This window comes from Homo sapiens, chromosome 12 (genome assembly GCF_000001405.40).
Source record: "Homo sapiens chromosome 12, GRCh38.p14 Primary Assembly".
In the NCBI taxonomy this organism is placed as follows: Eukaryota; Metazoa; Chordata; class Mammalia; order Primates; family Hominidae; genus Homo; species Homo sapiens.
The window spans coordinates 29,542,767-29,564,728 of NC_000012.12; the positions used below are offsets into that span (position 1 = coordinate 29,542,767).

General features: G+C 39.4%; 1 protein-coding gene and 2 long non-coding RNA genes across 12 annotated transcripts in view; 2 read left to right on the forward strand and 1 right to left on the reverse strand.

Annotated features, from left to right (window-relative positions):
• Positions 1 to 13,904, forward strand: part of LOC105369714 (uncharacterized) — a 36,940-nt gene extending 23,036 nt beyond the window's left edge. The window contains exon 6 of the long non-coding RNA XR_007063258.1: positions 13,854 to 13,904. This is a non-coding gene — a long non-coding RNA (uncharacterized LOC105369714). The remainder of the gene's footprint in view (positions 1 to 13,853) is intronic.
• Positions 1 to 21,962, reverse strand: part of TMTC1 (transmembrane O-mannosyltransferase targeting cadherins 1) — a 283,947-nt gene that overhangs the window by 41,954 nt on the left and 220,031 nt on the right. For all 10 annotated transcript variants that reach the window (NM_175861.3, XM_047429634.1, XM_017020005.2 and 7 more), the window contains one exon: positions 14,091 to 14,234. In NM_175861.3, the coding sequence (NP_787057.2) occupies positions 14,091 to 14,234 (144 nt within the window). The remainder of the gene's footprint in view (positions 1 to 14,090; positions 14,235 to 21,962) is intronic.
• On the forward strand, positions 17,349 to 19,540 carry LOC124902909 (uncharacterized). The gene is made up of 3 exons (XR_007063259.1): positions 17,349 to 17,408; positions 18,612 to 18,772; positions 19,475 to 19,540. It is a non-coding gene; the product is annotated as an uncharacterized LOC124902909 (long non-coding RNA).

Consider the following 21,962-nt stretch of genomic DNA (forward strand, 5'->3'; position numbering starts at 1 on the left):
ACTGGCTGGTTAATTTGCCCCATGAAAGATACTCCTGGATACCAGGAAATGTGGCAGGATGGGGTTGGGCAGAGTAGAACTCTGGGGTAATACTGCAATGAAAAGAGGCAGTTTTCTCTCTCATAGGGGCTGTATTGTGAATATCCTTGATTGCATATCCAAGTCTTAGCTCCTGTGTTATCCATCATAACAAAAATAAAAATCTCCTAATATTTTGCAGCAAAACTCAACTCTCTCATGTTTCCCCCGGGAGCTTCCAAAAGGCTAAAAAATTCCCGAGAATGTGTTCCTGGGACCAGTGACATCATCATTAATTTCATAAGAGAAACATTAAGTAGAAATTAGATCTTGTTTAGAATGTACGAATTTTGCCATTAAACACTTGTAGTTTCACAGGGAATTTTCCCTTTGGTTACACAGCATTGGGACTGTTTTTCCTGTGTGTTAAGTAAAAACATTTGCATCGTGTCACTTTCATGGCTCCATGTCAGTGACAGATATTTAGCAAAAGCAAACAAGGTTTCGCCACATTTTTCTTTTAGTAATTAAGTACTGGGTAAGTTTGTCAATTTAGAGAACTTTTTGGATTCCTGTCTAAAGTCTCATGACATATTCATTTAAACTGAAAGTAGATGCTTGCTTTGAAAAAGTATTGACATTTGGGGAGAACGTAGGAAATGCCAGTAACAGAAATAAATGGATTTGGCGACCCTCTTGGTGGCAGTAAAATTTCCCATTAACCACAGTGTGAACTTGGAATGCTGGGCAGACCTCTTAATTACTATTCCTTTGTCGGGGTGTCTGTTGTTGTTGGATTCAAAATTGATGTTCCCAACAAATGAAAAAGATCATGGTTTTTTTTGGCATACTGACTTTACCAGCTCTTCTAAAAAACTGAATTGTGAAAGTCAAATTGTAAACGTCTGACTGAGATGATCTTTACAGAGCACACATGTTTCTGTAGCTCTACTATCTTTCCTGTACAGAAAGAAAAGAAAATCAGATTATATTCTATGTAGCTTCCTTTAGATTCAAGTTTACTGAGCACACCTGGGAAATGTAATGGAAATATAGCATCTAGTTTACTAGGGGTTCACCCTAATTTTTCTGCTTGACTTTCTACAGAAGCCACGTGGAACTGTGTGGAGGACACAGATTCATATTATGTGGTTAAAAGAATTTTAAAAAATATTTTCGCCAGGTGCAGTGGCTCATGCCTGTAATCTCAATACTTTGGGAGGCCAAGGTGGGCAGATCACCTGAGGTCAGGAGTTTGAGACCAGCCTGGCCAACATGGTGAAACCCCATCTCTACTAAAAATACAAAAATTAGCTGGGCGTGGTGGTGGCGCCTGTAATCCCAGCTACTCGGGAGGCTGAGGCAGGAGAATCACTTGAACCCAGAGGCAGAGGTTGCAGTGAGCTGAGATCATGCCACTGCACTCCAGCCTGGGCAACAGAAGCAAAACTCCATCTCAAAAAAAAAAAAAAAAGTCAATTCACAGTCAAACTCATTAGACAGAGTGGCGCAAAAGTGGCACTGGCCTAACAGTTAACATTCAGAGAATAGGCCACTTGCCTCCCTCCCACCCCCCATCCTACCCTTCTCCCACCTGGAAACTGAGAAATGGTAAGATGGAGTCACAGGGCAGCAGAAATGGAGATGCAGCTCACACACACACCTCACACTGGGGATGGCACAGAGTAGGTCCTGAGGAAATGTTAGTCCTGAGTTCCTCTCCTTTGTTTCTTTGGAACGACTCTTGGTGTCTATCGTCATCCAGATGAGGTCACTGCTCTGCACCCAGGCAGTGGAACACCTGCCCCACTGTGCCTTCCTCTGCATCTGCAGGGCTGGTTCTGCGCATGGGGGCGGGCTGGGATAAACTAGTCCCAAGCCAGTTTCACTTCAAAGTGTATGCAAATATATATGCTAAATCCTTTCAAGATTAAGGGAAAGTGTAAAACAATGCTCCCAGGTAGGGACCTAAAAGGGAAGGCAGCTGAGAATAACTTAATTTAGTCAGGATTCATTTGCCCCATAGCTAAAAGGATGCTTTGATGATGCAGTTTAATGCGTGTTCCTGGGTTTAGGCTCAGGCTTGGGGTGGTCTAAATCTCAGCTCTGCCCTCACCAGTTGAATGATGTGTTAGATGCTTCATCTCTAGGAGCCCCAGTGGCCAAAGAGAAATGTGCTTATTATTAAATAATCTCTACCTCTCTAGGTTCCTGTAAGAGTGGAGTAAAAGAACATGAGTGATATGCTTAGCCGAGTGTCTGGCACATAGTAGGAGGCAATAAATGCTAACTCCACTTGCTCCTTTCTCCTCTCCAGCAAGATTCCCAGCTCAAATTTCTACCAGAAGCCTCACAGATGGGTTTTTTTTTTTCAGCAGAGGCAGGATGCTATTACAATGCAAGTACTTCCTCTGGAGAGAAAAGGGACTTTCAAGTTCTTCTCTGGTCTTCTTTTTCTTTTACTTCTCAGTTAAAAGACCAGAAACCTGTAGTTGTAGTTAAAACCACAGATTCTTGCAGCTGGATAATTCTATGAGATCACTTGTTCTCACCCTTTGTTTTAAAGAGATGGAGGCCGGGCACAATGGCTCACGCCTATAATCCCAGCATTTTGGGAGGCTGAGGAAGACGGATCATTTGAGGTCAGGAGTTCGAGACCAGCCTGGCTAACATGGTGAAACCCTGTCTCTATTAAAAATACAAAAATTAGCCAAGCATAGTGGCTCATGCCTGTAGTCCCAGCTACTCAGGAGGCTGAGGCAGGAGAATCACTAAAACCTGGAGGTTGCAGTGAGCTGAGATCAGCCCACTGCACTCCAGTCTGGGCAACAGAGCAAGACTCTGTCACACACACACACACACACACACACACACACACACACACACACACACGGATAGAAACTAAGCCTCAGCAAAGTTTAAATTTCCCCGAGCTGTTCAACTGCAGGGGTAGAAAATGCATTATCTACTTCTGATTCATTGCATATTTTATACCAAGGACCTGAGTTTCAAATTGAAAGTGAGAAATTATGTCCCTGGGCTGATGATAATTAATAATAGTTAAAGCTTATTTCATCTTCATTGGGTAATAGGGCCTATGTTGAGGACTTACACGCATTATTGTATTTAGTACTCATGAAAGATGTAGTTACTAGTATTATTTGCACTTTATACACGAGCAGTTGGAGGCACTGCAAGGTAAAATCCTTTTCCCAAGGTCACATGTAATTTTGCAGTAGAACTGAGACTCAAACTCACTAAGCTCTCCCAGCTGCTAGTCTTGAGGAGAACACACAGGAGGTGGTAGTGAGGCAGCATGATGTGGCAGAAAGCACTGGCATCAGTTTCCTGGCCCTGGGCTCTCTCCTCACGTGATTCTCAGTCTGTAATGGGAGAGTGATGGGCTTGTCCTAGACAACTGGTGTGGGCAGGCTCATGAGACATGAGAAGTGCTGAGCAGAGTGCCATTTAAGTGCCAGTTACTGTTGTCCCTGTCACTTGCAGGAGGAGGGTGGCCAGAAAGCTGAGGGAAGAGAGCCCTGCTATGCTGGCCGGCAGACAAGAGGCAAGGCATGAAAACACCAAACTAAGGGAACTGGGCCCTATATCAGGAGGGTACAAATGGGAGGGAGGTTGGCAGAATTGCTAAGGAGTCACCAAGAAGGGAAGGGGCCTTATTTCATGCTTCCTGGGACAGACCCTGCAGGCCACAGACAGGGGTGGAACATGCATATTCCTCTTTCTGTCCTTCCTATTTCTCTTCCTGGCCTACACAGAGCATTTTTAGATTTAAAAGCCTTTTGATTATGTCTAACAGCCTATATGCCAAATTTAATTGTCTGGGTAAAGTTGATCTCCTACTGGGCTTTAGAAAAAATGTTCAGGCACTTGGTACCCTAAAGTAAGACAAATGTATGCAGAAAGAAATTTTCAATGATTATCCACATTTCTCTTATTCTTTTAATTGAATCAGACTAGTCCCAGCTACTCGGGAGGCTGAGGCAGGAGGATCGCTTCAGCCCAGGAGTTTGGAAGTTTGAAGCTGTTGTGTGCTATGATCGCACCTGTGAATAGCCACTGAACTCCAGCCTGGGCAACATAGTGAGTCCTTTTCTCTTAAAAAAAAAATTCCTCTTTCACCTTGAGTTATTCCAAAAATTATTCCTTTTTCACCTATATCTTGAGTCATCCCAAGTCTTTCAGGCAGCACAGGAGCTCAAGGGGACAAGATAACAAAGGATTCCGGGAAAGATTGTAAAGGGTGAATGGGGTGGGAAAATGATTTTCAGGACAAGGGAGACTACTGAAACTCTTGCACTTGACAAAGCAGTCTGGCCTGTTTAATTATCCTCTGTTAGAAATATTTATGCAATGAAGGAAAATGATGACATTCCAACTCCTTCAAGAGAATGTAAACAAAAACCAGGGGATTCCTCAAAGCTTGCTCCCACCCAGCACTTCCTGGGCAGCTCTGTCTTCAGGTCTCCGCGGTGTTTACTGCAGTCATTACAAAAGGAAAAGGAAAGATTGAGAGAAGATTCCTTGCAAAGCACATGATGGATTTAAAACAACGCAACCTCAACTCATTAGTAATCACAGTATAAATGAGTGGAGTTGCAGTAGGGGAGAGGGACTCACAAAAATAGTTTAATCATTAGCAATCTGTTTACATACAAACAACTGCCAAATCTTGAGTAAGTACATAGACATTCTCGTTATTTCCCAGTAACTTAATTTTGGACAGCCACTGACCATGAAATGATAAAAATGTAAATGAAACCACATTTTAAATGAACTAGGAAAGTTCTCTATTTAAAACCTCAGTCACAGTCTCTAAAATGTAACCTGGCAGGTTAGTATTTCTCATACATTGACAAATGGCCAATCTGGCTGGGGTCTGGGTTTACACAATATGGGAGAGGAGTGAAGAATAAGGAGGAAAGTGGCAGGATTATGGAAAGCCCTGAATGCTAAGACATTTGGACTCTATGTGTGTACGCAATGGATATGAAGTGAATTTCTTAGCTGTCCCTAAATTTATAGGAAGGGTCGAAGAAGAGCAGATGTTGGATTTGGAAGAGCAAAATAATGCACTGTGATAGAAGCAATGAAATAAAGAGCTTCAAAATCAGAAGGAGATCAACAGTGTCATATTCTTCACTGCAGAGAAACTAAGGGAGTAAAAGCTGGCAGAGCAGTGAATGCACTAGACAGCTGTGTGAACAGGTGCAAAGGAGAAGCACCAGGCGCTAACCATTCTTCTTGCCAATTTGATCAAAAGCAAAGAGTGAAGACAACAACTGGAGGGAGCGCCTCAACTGAGAAAGATTCCCTAGGGGGATCTGGGGCATGCTGAAGTTGTGGACTGGAGAGAATTTGAAGACCTAAGAGAGAGCCTGTGGTAATAGAAGAGGAGAGAAATAGAATCAGGAACACATGTGGATTCTACATTAATGACCACTAATGGCTAAAACACAGCACCAAATGTTCAAAAGGATATGGAGCAAATGAATCTTTCCCCATTGCTGATGGAGTGAAAAATGGCACAATTATTTTGGAGAACTGTTTGTCAATTGATATGGTTTGGCTGTGTCCCCACCCAAATCTCATCTTGAATTGCAGCTCCCATAATCCCCACATGTTGTGAGAGGGACCCGGTGGGAAGTAATTGGATCATGGGGGCAGGTTTTCCCCATGTTGTTGCCCTGATAGTGAATAAGTCTCATGGAGATCTGATGGTTTTATAAAGTACAGTTCCCCTGCACACACTCTCTTGCCTGCTGCCATGTAAGATGTGTCTTTGCTCCTGCTTCACCTTGCACCATAATGGTGAGGCCTCCCCAACCATGTGAAACTGTGAATCCATTAAACCTCTTTTTCTTCATAAATTACCCAGTCTCAGGTATGTCTTTATTAGCAATATGAGAACAGACTAATACAGTAATTTCTGAAAACATTAAAGAAACACCCAAATTCTACACCTATATTTATATATTTATATATTACATATAAATATATAAGTATAAAGGTTATATATTGCTTGATTATATCACTTATCTAAAATATATAATATATAAATATATAAATTATATAAAATTAATATACAATATATAATTATTAATATATTTATTTACATATTATATAATATGTAAATAATATATAATATGTATGACATATTTAAATAAATTAAATATATAAATTAAATTAAATATATAAATTATATATTATATATTATATGTTATATATTTATATATTATTTATATAAATAAATATATATTTACCCAAGAAAAATGAACATACAAAGATTGGGAAGTGAATATTCACAACAGCTTTATTCGTAATAACCCATACCTGTAAACAAACAAGTATCCACCCACAGTAAATGGATAAACAAATTATCTAAGATTAATTTCAATAGAATACTACTCAGCAATAAAAAGTAATATGTAACAACATGGATAAGACTAAAAAATTGTGCTAAATGAAAATATCCAGATGCCAAAAATACATACCAAATTATCACTTTAAAATAAAGTTCTAGGCCAAACTAACTTATCGTAAAAAAAATAAAATCAGAACAGTGATTGCCTCAGGGGAGGTGGAAACTTACTGGAAGGAGGTATGGAAGGTCTTTCTGGGGTGATGGAAATTGTCTACGTTATTTTGGGAATAATTATAAGAGCACATAAAATTGTCAAAACTCATTGCACTGAAGACTTAAGATTTGTGCATTTTAATACATGTTAGTTATGCCTCAATTTAAAAAAAAACACACAAACACAGGTATAAACACTAGCCTCATGAAGGAGGCAAGATATTAATAAGGCTTTCTTCTATGGGAGAGCAAAGCAAGCAGGAGTCTACGAACATGCAGGAAATTTTGAGATAGAAAGAAAGGAAACTGTAATATTTCACCTTGAATGACCTGAATATTCTAAGTAAAAGTAAGGGATGAGGTTGTCTTCTGGGTGTGTGTACAGGGCACTGAGGAGGGGAACAGAGGATGTATGCATTAGGGAAACAGGAGATAACATAAAAGACCATAAGGAATGAATTTTCAACAGCTCTTACCCCTAATCATGGTTTTGTTTTCCATGTAGGGATCCCATTCAACTCAGATTTGTATTTTTTTCCTCTATCATTTGATAGATTGGATGACAGTCTAGAGTCCTACATTCTCTACAGGAGTGAAAATTGTTTCTTGGGGTGGGGATGATGGTGGTGAAAAATAATCATAGACATTACAATGGTTTTGGGTCTTTCCAAGCTCAATCCTATGTAACAAATCTTATTCTTGAGTGTTTAATTGGGGAGAAAGCTGATAAGAAAAAATATCTAAAAAAGCTCCTTAAAAGAGGTGAGTATGATAATGAAAAAAAAAATTGAGAAATATTGGTCTAGGGAAAGCAAAATACAGGTAGTGAAGTAACTTGGGTTGGCCTTGTCAGGCAGGTAAATGTTGGTAAAAGTGTGAAAGAGTCTAAGTTGATGTCACGTGCATTACTGAAATACATCAGATAAATTAGAGATAGGGTTATAAATTATGAATGCAAAAATCAGGGAGAAGAGAGGTTCTAACAGTGATCAAGTGCAGGGCCGGCAGGAAAGAGGGAGCAGGAGAATAGCACCTGTCACGGAAGCTATGCTGATGCTTAGGTCTTAATAGAAGGCAACTGAGCAGACAGAGGAGCGAGGAGGTGGCAGGTCATAATCATGATCCCTTTAAAGTGTCAGCGGGAATGAGAGAGTGGGGAAAAGGGAAGGGAGGACAGAGGTAAGAGTTTAAGCTCAAAGAGGAGCATTTCGGAGTTCAAATGCTAGAGAATGACAAAGTCTGCATAATTAAAAAGCCAGTGGCCAGGCCATGTTGGTAAATGCTAAGGTAGAGCATAAATGGGGGGCCCTGAAGGGACAGAAGCACAGGAACTTGGTGATGGATCTTCTTGCTGAAGAGCGCAGCATAGTTTGGTGAGCAATGGAGAGTCACTGCCCTGGTGCTCAAGTCCCTGAGGATGATGGAAGAAGGTACAAGAAGTTGTGAAATGGCAGGGATGAGGATGGTGTTATGAGATGCTGGACTGGGCTTTAAAAGAGCAGGGAGATTGCATCACTGCACTCCAGCCTGGGGGAGAGAGTGGGACTCCATCTCAAAAAAAAAAAAAAAAAAAAAAAAAAAAAAAAAAAAAAGAGCAGGGAGACAGAGCTAGAGAGAAACAAACATGATTTGGACAAAGATGAAGGGGAGCAAGTGTAATGGGATTGGGACTAGAAGTAACTAAAGGTGGAGGGAACAGGTCACTACCACAGGGGTGCAGAGTGGGGGATAGAATTTCATGCTAAGAGGAGGATGCAGAAAATGCTCATCTGAAGCTGGTATACTAATGTGGTAGTAAGGGTGTTAAAAAGTTTTCTTTATCCATGTGGCTGGCATTGTCTACTCTCCGGGGCTTCAGTTAAAAGGTAGAGAAAAACTACTATCTTGAATGTATCAACTTCCTTTTTATGAAATAAAAGTTTGTGTGGCTAGTGCCAAAGGTATTAGGAAACATATCCCTAGCACTTAAAAGATAATGGTTACCCTTATTTCTGCCTCCTAATATTTTTTAGATATTCAATTTTCTAAAGGATCAGACTAAAGTAAATCAAATATATCCTGTTATCAAATTCATCTGCTATATAGTTCAATTATTGGACATTCCATTACATTTTCCCCTGAGTTTTGATTATAAGATTTATTGTAATACCTACCTAACACTCATATTCTATTATGTGAACAAAAGGTAGTTTTGGCAATAAGGGAGGTATGACATGGTTCTTCAAGAAGTTCTTTTTATATTCCATTTCAGTAATAAACACCAACAGCTATTTTAACAGAGCATTCACAGAAATATTTTTCCCATATCCTGAATTTAAATATTCTATTATATTCTGTTGAGCCATCAGGGACTTCCGCTCTGTTCATCCATAAAAAGTTCATGCTAATCTTGCCTATTTTCTTTCTTCTTTTTTTTTTTTTTTTGACATTTTAAATTCTAACCAAAGCCAACAAGAATTAATATAAATTAAGAATGCTGGCATGGAAAGCTGCTTCTTATCAACCTCTCACACTGTAAATGTGCTGCACAGCATCATGACATATTAGCTGCAAAGTCCAGTGAAATGGTCATAAAAGGGGCCAGATATATTTGGATAACACTCAGTGAAGTCTGCTGCTATGAATGGGTCTGAAGCCGTCTGTCATATAATTCCAAGAATTCAAATGAGTTGCTATAAGATTGCCTTGGATGCTCTGATAGAGTCACGTCTTATTTAGAGCTTCTGGCCTGGACAAAGACTCATATTTCTTTCGAAGTCAAGGTTATTAATAAACATCTGTGTTGTACAATATAGTAGCCACAAATTACATGTGGCTACTGAACACTTGAAATATGGCTGTCCTGAGATGTGCTGTAAGTGTAAAGCACACATTGCATTCCAAATATTTCATTTAAAAAAAAAAGAATGCACACCATCTCAGTAATATTTTCAATTTCTCACATTAAATTTTAAAAATTATGTTTTAATATTAATCACATGCTAAAATAATTTGAATACATTAGGGTTAAATAAATATTATTAAAAATAATTTCACTTTTTAAAATGTTTTAAAATCTGGCTACCTAAAAAAATGTAAATTACATGTATGGCTCTCATTTCTACTGGGCAGTGATGCTGCAGGCTGTAGCCCAGTTTTCAGGTGGGCCACAAGGAGGCAGTAGAGTGCGGTGGTTAGGGGCAGAAGGGCTAGAGCAGGTCTAGGTTCCATTCTGTGTCTTCTATTTCCTTACTAAAGGACTTTGGCATGTTACTTATTTTCTCCAAATCTTAGTTTCCTTATTAATCAAACAGGAATAATGATAGTGCTTCCTCTCAGGGATTATCAAATATAAACTGTTCACATCTAAAGAGATAACTTGGATTCTCAGAATGAGCATTAAGTTCCAGGTTATAAAGAAGGATACAATTTTTTAAAGTTAACTCAATAACTCAAAAGTTAACTCAATGGAGAAATCAATATTGTGTACATCTTAAAGTGAATAAATAGTAAAACAGATTAAGTCAAATCAAATTGAAAGTGTTTTTATCCTCTTCTTGCCTTTGACCCATTGCTATGGCTCAGAAATGTATTAAGGTAAGCAGAAATAAAGCTCAGTTATCTAAGTGCTATTTTCTGGGTCATCTCTCTCTGTTACTTAGCAACATAACTTCAGGGTGATGGAAATCAAATTTGCTGTTTCTTTAAGAGAGATGCAGGGTGGTCCTTTCTCCCAAAAGGCAATTGCATGCCATTAAACAGTCTAATATTATGTAATGTTTGGATTGGAAAGCTATTTGGGCACGTGGGTAATGGAAAGTGAACAGGAAAAGGAGTTCAAGGGTAGGGATTCAATCCTGGCTCTGCCATGGCCTGAGCCAAGGTCACATAAAACCTCTGAACTTTGGTTTCCTCACCGGTAAAATGGGGATGAGGAAGGCAATATATCTCCTAATAGATCGTTTTAAAGATTAAATAATGAATATTAAAAGAAACTTATCTGTAAACTGGAAAGCTTTTCAGAGTTAGCTCTTATCATTATTTTAATCTACTGAATTCTATGACTGACCTATGCTGAGATACAGCCACTTGGCTCTATGGTGTAACAGGCAAGAGGAGGTAAACAAGGATAACTTGTTTGGACCTCTGTTAACTTCTTAGGAGCTTGTTTTCTCTTCTTTCCTATTCACTGTAAAGACTCATTGTAAGGGCATCATGAAAAAAAAGGCACTCAGGAAACAGTAAAGTCTTATACAAATGTAAAGCATTGTTGTTGATTTGGATCATCATCAAGAATTGATTTTTACTGAAAAAGAGAAGGGGTAAAAAATCCTGTGTTGGTTACCCAATAACTCCTCTTACTGTGAAAAGTAGCCATTGCCAAGTTCCAAAATGCATTTTTAACTCACATGTACTAATTTAAGATGTTAGCAGTGATAAGATGAAAATTGAAAAAGGAAAGTTAGAGCATCCATCTTTTGCTCAGGTCTTAGCAAAATGAAACTTATAAGAATATCTGCCATTATTTTCAATTAGAGCCAAATTCAGCACCATATTATGATCATAACTGTAGAATAGCATTCCTAACAAGAAACGCCATTTTGTAGCCAAGCCTTTATATTTGGCTTCTATGGGTAAAATACTCATCTATATGATTTTTGAATGTAGCGCTATATAATCCAGGTACCCCAAAAGACATTTACAGGATTTTATATAACCAGTACGTTATTTGGGCTCTTAAGGAGGACATATACAGATGCAACAATGACTTATTAAAACACAAATCCTTAGAACTTCACATAAAGAAATACGTGCTCATAAAAGTAGCAGAGTGAAATAACAACATGATAATGATCTGTATCTAGCTATCTACAATAAGTAGATCTAATTTTTGTCACACTGTTTGATTTGCTATTTTTAAAAAGAGCCTCTTAGAACTAAAATATTTTTTCCACCACAGTTGTACACTTGTCTTCATTATCAGTTGTTTTTCCTTTCTTGTTTTTTTTTTAATACACAATTAGTTTTAATATCACTGTTAGTAGGGATTTGGGCATGGAAAAGGACTGTTGAATGTTCTTACTTTTAGCAAGACGTTAGCGAGTCTTTAGCAAGACTAAAAGTAAGAAAAAGCAGAGCAGTGTATTAAGGTGGGTCAAAGAAAATTACAAATTGTAGACTTAACGATAATTAAAACCTATATTGTGCTATACATATGCAAAGAAGCAGGCCAGACACAGTGTCTCATGCCTATAATCCCGGTACTTTGGGAGGCTGAGGCAGATGGATTGTTTTAGCCCAGGAGTTTGAGACCGGCCTGGGTGACATGGCAAAACCCCACTTCTACAAAAAATACAAAAAGCTTAGCCAGCCATGGGGGGGCATGCCTATAGTCCCACCTACTTGAGTCTGGGAGGCAGAGGTTGCAGCGAGCCATAATAACACCACTGAACTCTAGCCTGGGTGAATGAGCAAGACTCTGTCTCAAATATATACATGAAATAAAATATACATATAAAGAAGCACACCGAATGTGTTTTATTTTCTAGTCTATATTCTCCTCAGTCTTTCAGAGGCTCCTCTTATCCCATATAGGACCAATTTATTAGTCATACAGAAAGGAATCCAATGTAAGACCTATGTTTCAGTATACTAGGATCCAAATGTTGCCAATTTATCAGCTCTAAAATTTATTCAAGAAAAATTTTACATCAATTGATTTTATATTTCACTGCTTCACAATCTATAAAGGGTTTAGGATTCAGTTCCAACATCCTTTTTTTTTTTTTTTTTTTTTGAGACAGAGTCTCACTCTGTCACCCAGGCTAGAGTACAGTGGCATGATCTCAGCTCACTGCAACCTCTGCATCTCAGGCCCAAGTGATTCTTGTGCCTCAGCCTCCAAAGCAGCCAGGATTACAGGCACAAGTCACCAGGCCCGGTAATTTTTTTTTATTTTTTATTTATTTATTTTTTTAAAATTATACTTAAGTTCTGGGATACTTGTGCAGAACATGCAGGTTTGTTACATAGTTATACATGTGTCATGGTGGTTTGCTGCACCCATCAACCCGTCATCTACATTAGGTATTTCTCCTAATGCTATCCCTCCTCTTGCCCCCTACCCCCCGACAGGCCCCAGTGTGTGATGTTCCCCTCCCTGTGTCCATGTGTTCTCATTGTTCAACTCCCAATTATGAGTGAGAACGTGTGGTGTTTGGTTTTCTGTTCCTGTGTTAGTTTGCTGAGAATGATGGTTTCCAGCTTCATCCATGTCCCTGCAAAGGACATGAACTCATCCTTTTTTATGGCTGCATAGTATTCCATGGTGTATATGTGCCACATTTTCTTTATCCAGTCTATCACTGATGGGCATTTGGGTTGGTTCCAAGTCTTTGCTATTGTGAATAGTGCTGCAATAAACATATGTGTGCATGTGTCTTTACAGTAGAATGATTTGTAATCCTTTGGGTATATACCCAGTAATGGGATTGCTGGGTCAAATGGTATTTCTGGTTCCAGATCCTTGAGGAATCACCACACTGTCTTCCACAATGGTTGAACTAACTTACACTCCCACCAACAGCAACCATGTGGATTGTCAGCATTCTGACAAGCACAGATAAACATATTATTACGCTCCAATTCTGGTCATTTTTACCTTTTAAATTTCCATTTCTGATATTTGTTAACCTTTTTTTTTTAAGTTTAGAAGCTAAATTCCATAACTACCACCACCGTTACTACTATCATTGTCTGGACCATCACCAACATGCTTAGACTATATTAATAAACACACAAGATGCAAAAGCACCCTTTACTGTAGTCTTCAGTAACTTTAATCACACTATCAACCTTTATCAGGGCAGCAAGTAAAAAGCAAACACTAGAGGTTATGTCTGAGAATTATTCCTAAGCACCAAAGTCATCACTACTAATTCCGACTACTAATTCCAGCAAGCACCACTTTATTTCTCACCTACAACACAAACTGGGTAGAAGTATGGTTAACCATTTGTCTATACCTTCAGAGAATGCTGCTTTTCCCAAAGTATATTATGGAATATTTGTCTTTGGAAATGCCTTCCCTCCACACACACACAAAGAAAAGACAAAAATGACTATCCCACAGTCCCTTCTTGAAGATTCACAAAGAATATTAGCATATTAAAGCTTCTTGCCATAAATAAACAATCTGCTTAGCTCAGCATGTTCTCAATTTATCTGACCATGTAACACTTTTCCATTCTTACTTCTTTAGAGACAATCTATGAAAATCTTCCAGAACTACTATTTCCAGAAAGACACTCTGGGAAATACAGCTTTTGACTGATAAGGAAAAGAAATTGAGATGCATGTTACACCCTCCCAAAGTCTGAAAACCCTAATTATTCAGCTCCAGAGAGAGGCAAGTGCAGCACAATCAAATGAGTGTTGAGAAGGAAAGAGTTTCTTGGAATCGCAAGGCCACCTGATCGATGGTAAACGTCCCACTTACTTGAGGAGATTCCCCAGATTGAAAAGAGCCCGGTTATGCTGTGGATGGAGCTGGAGAGCCCTCTGATAGTACATCTTTGCCTCTGCTGTGTCTCTCGTCAGTGTTCCAAGGTTGTTGAGCGCACTTGCATGGCGTGGATACAACCTGAAAAGTTAAAAATATTAAGCTGTGATGGTTCAAAAACTTCTAAGTTGGGCACAACTTGCTTGTTCTTCTTCCCCCAAGTATGAACAGCCAAAATGAAACACTGAATTATTCTTGTACTTGAATGGTTTGTGTCCAATCTTACTGGTCAACGACTTTTGCAGCTGAAAGTATATAATTAGGGCAGGGATGCACATATTTATAATTAAATAATTCTTAAATAGTACAAGAATAAATAGTATGTGGATCTACCAGGGTTAAAGACATTTAATAAGATTACTTTCCACTTCTTGTGATAGAAAATCCTCCTTGCCTCAGGTGCTAAGTTTCTAGCCTGAGTTTGTGGCCTGGTGAGGCCTCTGACCAGCTGCCTGTGCAGGGTCCACTATTTACACCAGATGCTGAGCGATCCTTTGAGGAGGAATCTTCATAAACATCTTTAAAACAAAAACAAAAACAAAAACAAAAAAACGGAGTTTTGCTCTTGTTGCCCAGGCTGGAGTGCAGTGGCACGATCTTGGCTCACTGCAACCCCCGCCTCCCAGGTTCAAGCGATTTTCCTGCTCAGCCTCCCAAGTAGCTGGAATTACAGGCGTCCGCCACCACGCCCAGTTAATTTTTATATTTTTAGGAGAGACTGGGTTTCGCCATGTTGGCCAGGCCGGTCTCGAACCCCTGACCTCAGGTGATCCACCTGGCTCAGCCTCCCAAAGTGCTGGGATTACAGGCATGAACCACCACACCTGGCCCATAAACATCTTTGGATTAGAGCATTGGTAAGACTGCAATGACTGAGAAAGGATGATATATAATGTCACCCCATAAAAATAAACTTAATCTGCAAAATGCCTCCTCTTCTCTTTTTTTCCATTTTATCTCATTTCCCCCCTCCTACTGCAGTTTGGTTCCACCTGTCCTAGTACAGTCTCAGACAGAAAATACTAAGAACTTAGAACACTTAAAGACAAAAAAACCCAAAGGTACGATGAAGTCAAAAATAGCATTCCTAATGTTCAAAAGCAAATGTAAAAGAGGATGAGGTGGACATCAGTATATCAAATTTATACTGATTAAGGTAAGAAAGGAACCAATTTATTTCCTAAACTCAAAACTATACAGAAGCCAAATCTACACAGCTCCATAATTTAATTGTTTTTGATATATTCAGAGTGGACATAGTTAGCAGTCTGGTAGGTTTGTTCCATCTCTGTCACCCAGAGTACTTTGAATAAGCCGGTAGAGCTGGCTTTTAATGTAGAAATGCCAAGATAACGCCCAAGTAATAAAAACGGGATCTGTACTTGTCAAGCCCCTTGACCATAAAATGCCATGCTTGCCCCCTGTTCTGTACCTTCTAAGAAGATCAGTTTAATTCTGGGACAGAAGAGGTTCCTATTAAAAGGACAGGGAAGACAATTTGCACTGCTTTTTAATCTTTGCTCTACCCAGAGTCTCTTAAGTTTATTTGACCCTTCGCTACTCCCTTACAGAACAGCTATAAACATCCCTCAGAACTAATATTTCCAGGAAGGCACTCTGTAATGTTCCTCTTGACTGACAAGGGCTAGAATCAATTCAAAGGAATATTACATCCTCCCAAAGCCTGAAAGCCCTAATTATTCACAGAAGCTTTGGAGGCTGTTAGGAGAGAGATCTTTAGAGGAAGTCTGGCAGAAAGCACACTGAGCCAGCACACGCGCTGTTGTTTGCTTCTCTCTGATCGCTTTTAATTAGCATAGACAACTTAAGGGTCTCTGATACTGGCCCCATTACATCCAACTTCAGTTCCTGGGAGACAAGTGCTTGGTGCTCTCTCTGAGATGCCTTTAGAAGATATGAGGCTATGATGAGGGCAAAATATGTTTCTGTACCTGTCCCTTCACTCCATGCCCAGGAAAGTGTCCCGCAAAGCTTGTGTCTAAGAATTACTTTGGAAGTGGTTGCAGAGCACATCACAGCCAGGACTCGAATTCTTCTAAAGAAGCTTTGGCTTTTGTTTGCTTTGTATGTTCAGCAAAGCACTGTAACCATCAGAAGATTTAAGGGTTGTCCCATGCACATGATGAAGCCAATTTCCATATTCCTTATTTCCTTTACAACAAGCAGTAACAGAAAGCTTATCTGGGACATGTGTCTTCCTTTTTCGTAGAGGAAATAATTTCTTAAGACGTTCTCTTTTTCTTATTTATTTAAGGCTCTGAGCCCTTGAAATGAACTTCTGAGGTGAAAACACTAAAGGAAAGGACAGGCTAAATTCAATAAGACCTTCCACCATGGGCTCACCCATGTAAGGTGCCTGTTTGCTCTGTAAGCAGCCGGTCATCTCCGGCAAGTTTTAAGCCCAACTTCCTGAATTTTATATTCACTCATGACCCCACTGCCATGTAAATGAACAGCCATGTATTTCAAAGGTCACTGACTACAGAAATGGCTTTCTCTTTCTCTTTTGTTTCCTTCAAATCAGAAACAGAATTCAAGTCCACCCTGAACTCTTAAAAACAAAAGCGAATAGTAAGAAGAGAAGTAAAGAGAAACAGAAGCGCTATAAGAGAAAAGGCCTTTACTATGCCTTGTGCTCTAAGAACCAACTTGGAGCTGCAGAAACGTGATGCTCAGGAGGAGGGACCAATTATAGTCCGGGAAGAGGCTCTATGTTGGCAAAGATCCCCAACTCCTCAAGGAAGGAGATTGCTGATATTTACAGGGACTCGCTGATTCTATAACCAAGCAAAGCCCTCCACCTGGAAAATGTGTAGCTATTGCTTATTCCCGGCAATACTAAGGACCTGCTAGCAATATCCTTTCTCTCTCTGGGTATCTGAGGAGGCTCACCTAATCACAAGCAAGCTTTGCATTATTTATGAAACCAAGCTGAATTTCATGAAAAGGATTCTTAACAACCAGGTCAGGAAAAATATCTAAAAAAAAGAAAAATACAGATGTAAATATTTTCTTAAAACACACACTGTACAGCAGACCTGTGCAAGGACAAAATTTATTTTGTGTGTTTACTTTTTAAATAAATTTGCGTTTGAATTAGCTTGGGCCTAATTCAATCCTGATCTCTCCAGGAAGGGAATTTTCTATTGGAAAGATGAATAATGTAAGAGATGTCTCTGTTGCTACATCAATTGTCGGAATAAATTAAGTCCATCTTGACTTTGCCTTCTACAGGTATGTTTTACAAATGTCCTGATAGTGGTTATTCCCTTCCCCGTCCAGAAAACCTCAACAAAAGATCTGCTGAACTGGAGCAGTGGTGATTTTTCAGGCCTGTTTGTAAGAGCACTCACTGGATTTTCTTTCTCACAGTATTCTTCAACATTTGAATTGTTTATGAAGATTCTTTTGCTATTTATTATTATTTTGATGAATTTCATTTTTAAAATTTATTATAGAGAAAATGAGTTATATTGTCCAATCATTCTGGGGTACAAATAAGCTTATTATTTCCTCATTAAAAAAGAAATGTATGGGGCCGGGTGAGGTGGCTCATGCCTGTAATCCCAGCACTTTGGGAGGTCAAGGCTGGCAGATCGCTTGAACTCGGCAGTTTGAGACCAGCCTGGACAACATGGCGAAACCCTGTCTCTACAAAAAAATAAAAATAAAGATTAAAAAAAATAACAAAACATACATATAGAGATGTGGTTCTATGAGCTGAAGAAAAATTTGTGTTCAAGTATTGGGTACTTTAGTTACTGGATAAACAATATCCATTTAAGCATTTTAGGGGTTCTTAATTTTTAGCTAGTGACATTTCCTTAAGTAGAATTAATAGAGTAGGCAGTCAAGGGCATCATTCCTCTCATCTTATCTCTGAAGAACGAATGTCAGCATGTTAATAGGAAAAAGTCCCTGGGAAGGAACACTTGTCTAAGCAAAAAATAGAAGGCGGGAACAAAAGAAAATGAGTTCCAGAGGACCTAGGATGTGTAAATGGTACTTTACATTTTTAAAGTGCTGTCTCAGACATTGTCTCATTTACCCTTCAAAACTGCTTAAGTAGAACTATTGTACTATTTATTTTACAGTTGAGGAAAGGGAAACTGGGAGAAATTAAGTAAATAATAGATTATAAAAAAAGACATCTCAAGTCACTTGAGCCTAGGAGTTTGAGGCTGCAGGGCGCTATGATGGTATCATTGCACTCCAGCCCAGGAGACAGTGAAACCCCATCTTTTAAAGAAAAAAAAAAAAAGACATCTCAGAAGCACTTGTGTTCTTAAATGTTAAGAAGGCAGCCGGCTCCTGTAAATCTGTTTTTAAACTTCATTCGTCATTCAACGTTCAGCAAATAAATTAGAGCTTCCATTTGGAATAATTCTTTTCATCTTGTTGTTTCTTTGGCTAAATCATTCAACTATGCTCTTATAGGAACTAGTTCTCAGTGGCAGAAGTGAAATAAACTCAATACCCAGAAAGTTTGGCTACTCAGAATCTTCACTGCAAAAATTTGTCTTCTGTCATACAAAATAATCATGGTGTCTCTGAAAAGCACAGTACTATGGAAAGCTATTTGGGATTAACAACACCCAGTAAGTGTGTAAGATTTACATACGTGCTTTCTGATTTACCCTTCTTCAGCTTTAACCTCAACTAAAGATCCATAGACATAAGCTGTATGTGAATAAAATCAAGTTTTGAATTTTATGTCAGTTATTTACTTTAAATTTTGTACAATCTGTTCCAGAGTTAAGAATGCTGTTTACTTTTCATTATCTGAGTGCCGTATATGGCATTTCATTGTTCAAATAATATTGAATGATGTGCTCTAGTTTGCAATTTCCTTTCGGAGAATACACACCCTGATTTATTTTCAGGGTGTGTATATTTGTCCGATTTTCATACCACACATTAATTTATTTGAGGTTAACCATGCTAAGGTCAGATGTTTATTTTCTATTTCCTGTTGAGAAAATAAGAGTCCAAAAGAAAAACATGACTGAGAAAAACATTCCACCATAAAACCAGAATTCCACTGGACTGAAAAATATACAAAATAAACTTCATTTCAGGAGGTGACAGCATTATTTCCAACCATATTAGTCTGTGGCATATTTTAAGTGCATGATTCCTTCATGTTATGAAATTTAAGTCCTCATGTGACTAAATTGCACTTGAGTAAAACTGATCATTTTATTAGTCTGCTTGTTTAATTGTTTGAAATTGCCATTAACACCTAGCAAATAAGTTTTACCACTTTCATCTTGCACCGTACTCCTTCTGATCCATTACAGATAGCCTCGGGAAAAAGCCTCAACTGCAATTCAGGGAAATGTGACGCACTCTTCAAGAGGGGCCAGCTAAATTATCTGACCTTGCACAATGGATGACCTCCAACAGTGATGCAGAAGGGCTCCTCCCAGTCAATTTTCCAAGACTATGCAGAGTAAAGCCATGGCTCTTGAGTGCCCTTAGGAAATGAATCATTTTAAATGGCTGAACCTGATTCCTGAGAATTTACTGCTAGGGGTTGGGAAGTTTACTGAATTAAGTATTTCTCTATTCCTTTAAATAGAAATGGTGAACATATTAACCTTTCTCAGAGGCTTGGGGTGAACTTTGGTTTTTGTGGCAGAATAGATAGGAAACTGCTTTGGTGGAGTGGAAAAATAACTGGATTTGGAGTCAGAAGCCATGAGAGGCATTCCAGCTATGTGAGTTTGAATTCATGTCTGTGCTTTAGTTGCTTTCTTTAAAAACGTAAGCTTAATAACATATTGACCTTCTCTGTGAATAAATGGGCTTCTACATGAACAAATGAGATGGTGGGTATAAAAATATCCATCACCACACCTGTTACACTACATACATTTAATATTTTGGGGTCAGCTGCAGGACCTCTGGGTGATTTGACTGGCTCCCTCTAGCCCTGATGAACCCATGCCAGGCTGAAGCAGCCAGTTCTCCTTCCTCACATGGATTTTTCATCCTCTGAAAAATCACACTCTTCACTGTTGCTGATAGCTTTCAACTTGCTCCCATCAGTCAAAATTACACCCATTATTTCTTCATCACTAACCTAGTGAACACTCAAGTCATTCTGTGTCCATCTGTTTCTCCTATACTGAGAGTTCTCAGATGTGAAGGGCAAGTAACCCTCTCCATTTTAAGAATGTAGGAATGTTCTTTGTCCAGCACTCCCTCCAAAGCCTGTCAATCCTTCATCATCTGAAGCAAATGATCCCCAGAGGCACCAGAGCAATTTTCTCCAAGTTTTTCCAATATGCTCAAGACCAAATGGAATTCCAGACACGTGTAATTGAAAAAGCTATATCCAAGGTTATAAGGACATTCAAAATCCTGTGTGGTTTCTGTGTGACAGATCAGTGTGCACCTGGGATCCTTGTTGCACTAACACTTCCTAGCATGAGTGCACTCTGGTTGATGGATTATCTCAGAGAAGAGACAATGGTGGGCAGGAAAAGGATGTTCATATTCCTAATTAATAACTGCCAAGTAAGGAGATCATGAGGAGTGGGGAGGAGAGTGGGTATGTTTTGAATACCCACTGCAGGAACTGGGTATTACTCCTGATATATAATGGGCAGGAGCTAGGGGTGTGAAACATCTTGCAATGCACAGGACAGTTCTGCACAAAGAAAAGTTGTTCTGCAAAATATCAAGAGCTCTGCCATTGAGAAACACTGTTTGTCCTTATGGAGTTGTCCTCTGACTCTAAGAGCCCTGTGATCGAGATTTTATGCATTATGTTCGTCCAGACTTTGTTTTCACAAGCATGTATAAAGCACGTACAATGTGCCAGACCGTTTGCTAAGGGCACACAGCATTAAAGAGAAAGCTGTCCTTGCCCTCAAGAGCGCCCTGTGGTAGAAGAGAAACAGGAAAACCAACGGACTCTAATGCACTGTGAGGAGAGCAGACAGAGCAGTAAAGCTGAGCTGGAGCTGACAGGAGCATACAGGACGAGGGCAAATGAGAGGCGCCTGAGACATTCACCAAGGTTTTTCCAGGAGAGACGATGCTTTACTGGGAGGGGCAGCAACAAAGGGGACTGGGAGTGCGAGGGAGGGGTAAGAGCAGGAAGATGAAGGAAAGGGTTCCAAGGAGAGAAAGCAAAACCAAACAGAACTTGAGAAACTGAAAGGATTTTATTCTGGCTGAAGCAGAGAATGGAAAGGAGGAAAATAAAGGACAAGGAGCAAGTTTTGGGGAGAAGATGACCAGTCAAGTTTGAGGTGCAGAGGGCAATTTGTGAAAATGTCCAGCTGGGTAGATGGCTCTGATCATCAGGGGAAAGATAATGGTAGAGTCATAGATTTGAGGGTCAACCAGCATATACACAGATGCTAACAAGCCTTTGGGACTGAAGGAACCCCTTAAAAAGCAAAGATTGAGAAGAGAACAAGATGTAGGGAAGGAGGAGAGGGTCCTGAGAACTCTTCCATTAAGGGTTGGTGGAGGCAGGACAATCTAAAGAAGGAGCAGAAAAAGCAAGAGAGCATGGTGTCACAGATGCTAAAAAAGAATTACTTTAAGGAGGAGGAAGTGGTCAACAAAGTCAAATGCTGCTGAGAGTTAGGTAATTTGATGCCCAAGCATGGTCCATTGGAATTATCTGCATGGAGGTAGCTGGTGACTTGGGGAGAGCAGTTTCACATGTGGGGAGGGAGCTGATGCCAGAATGTAGTTGAGTAATGAGAGAAAATAAGGAAGACATTGCAACTTTCTGGGAAATTTTGACACTTAAAAGGTAGGAAGGAG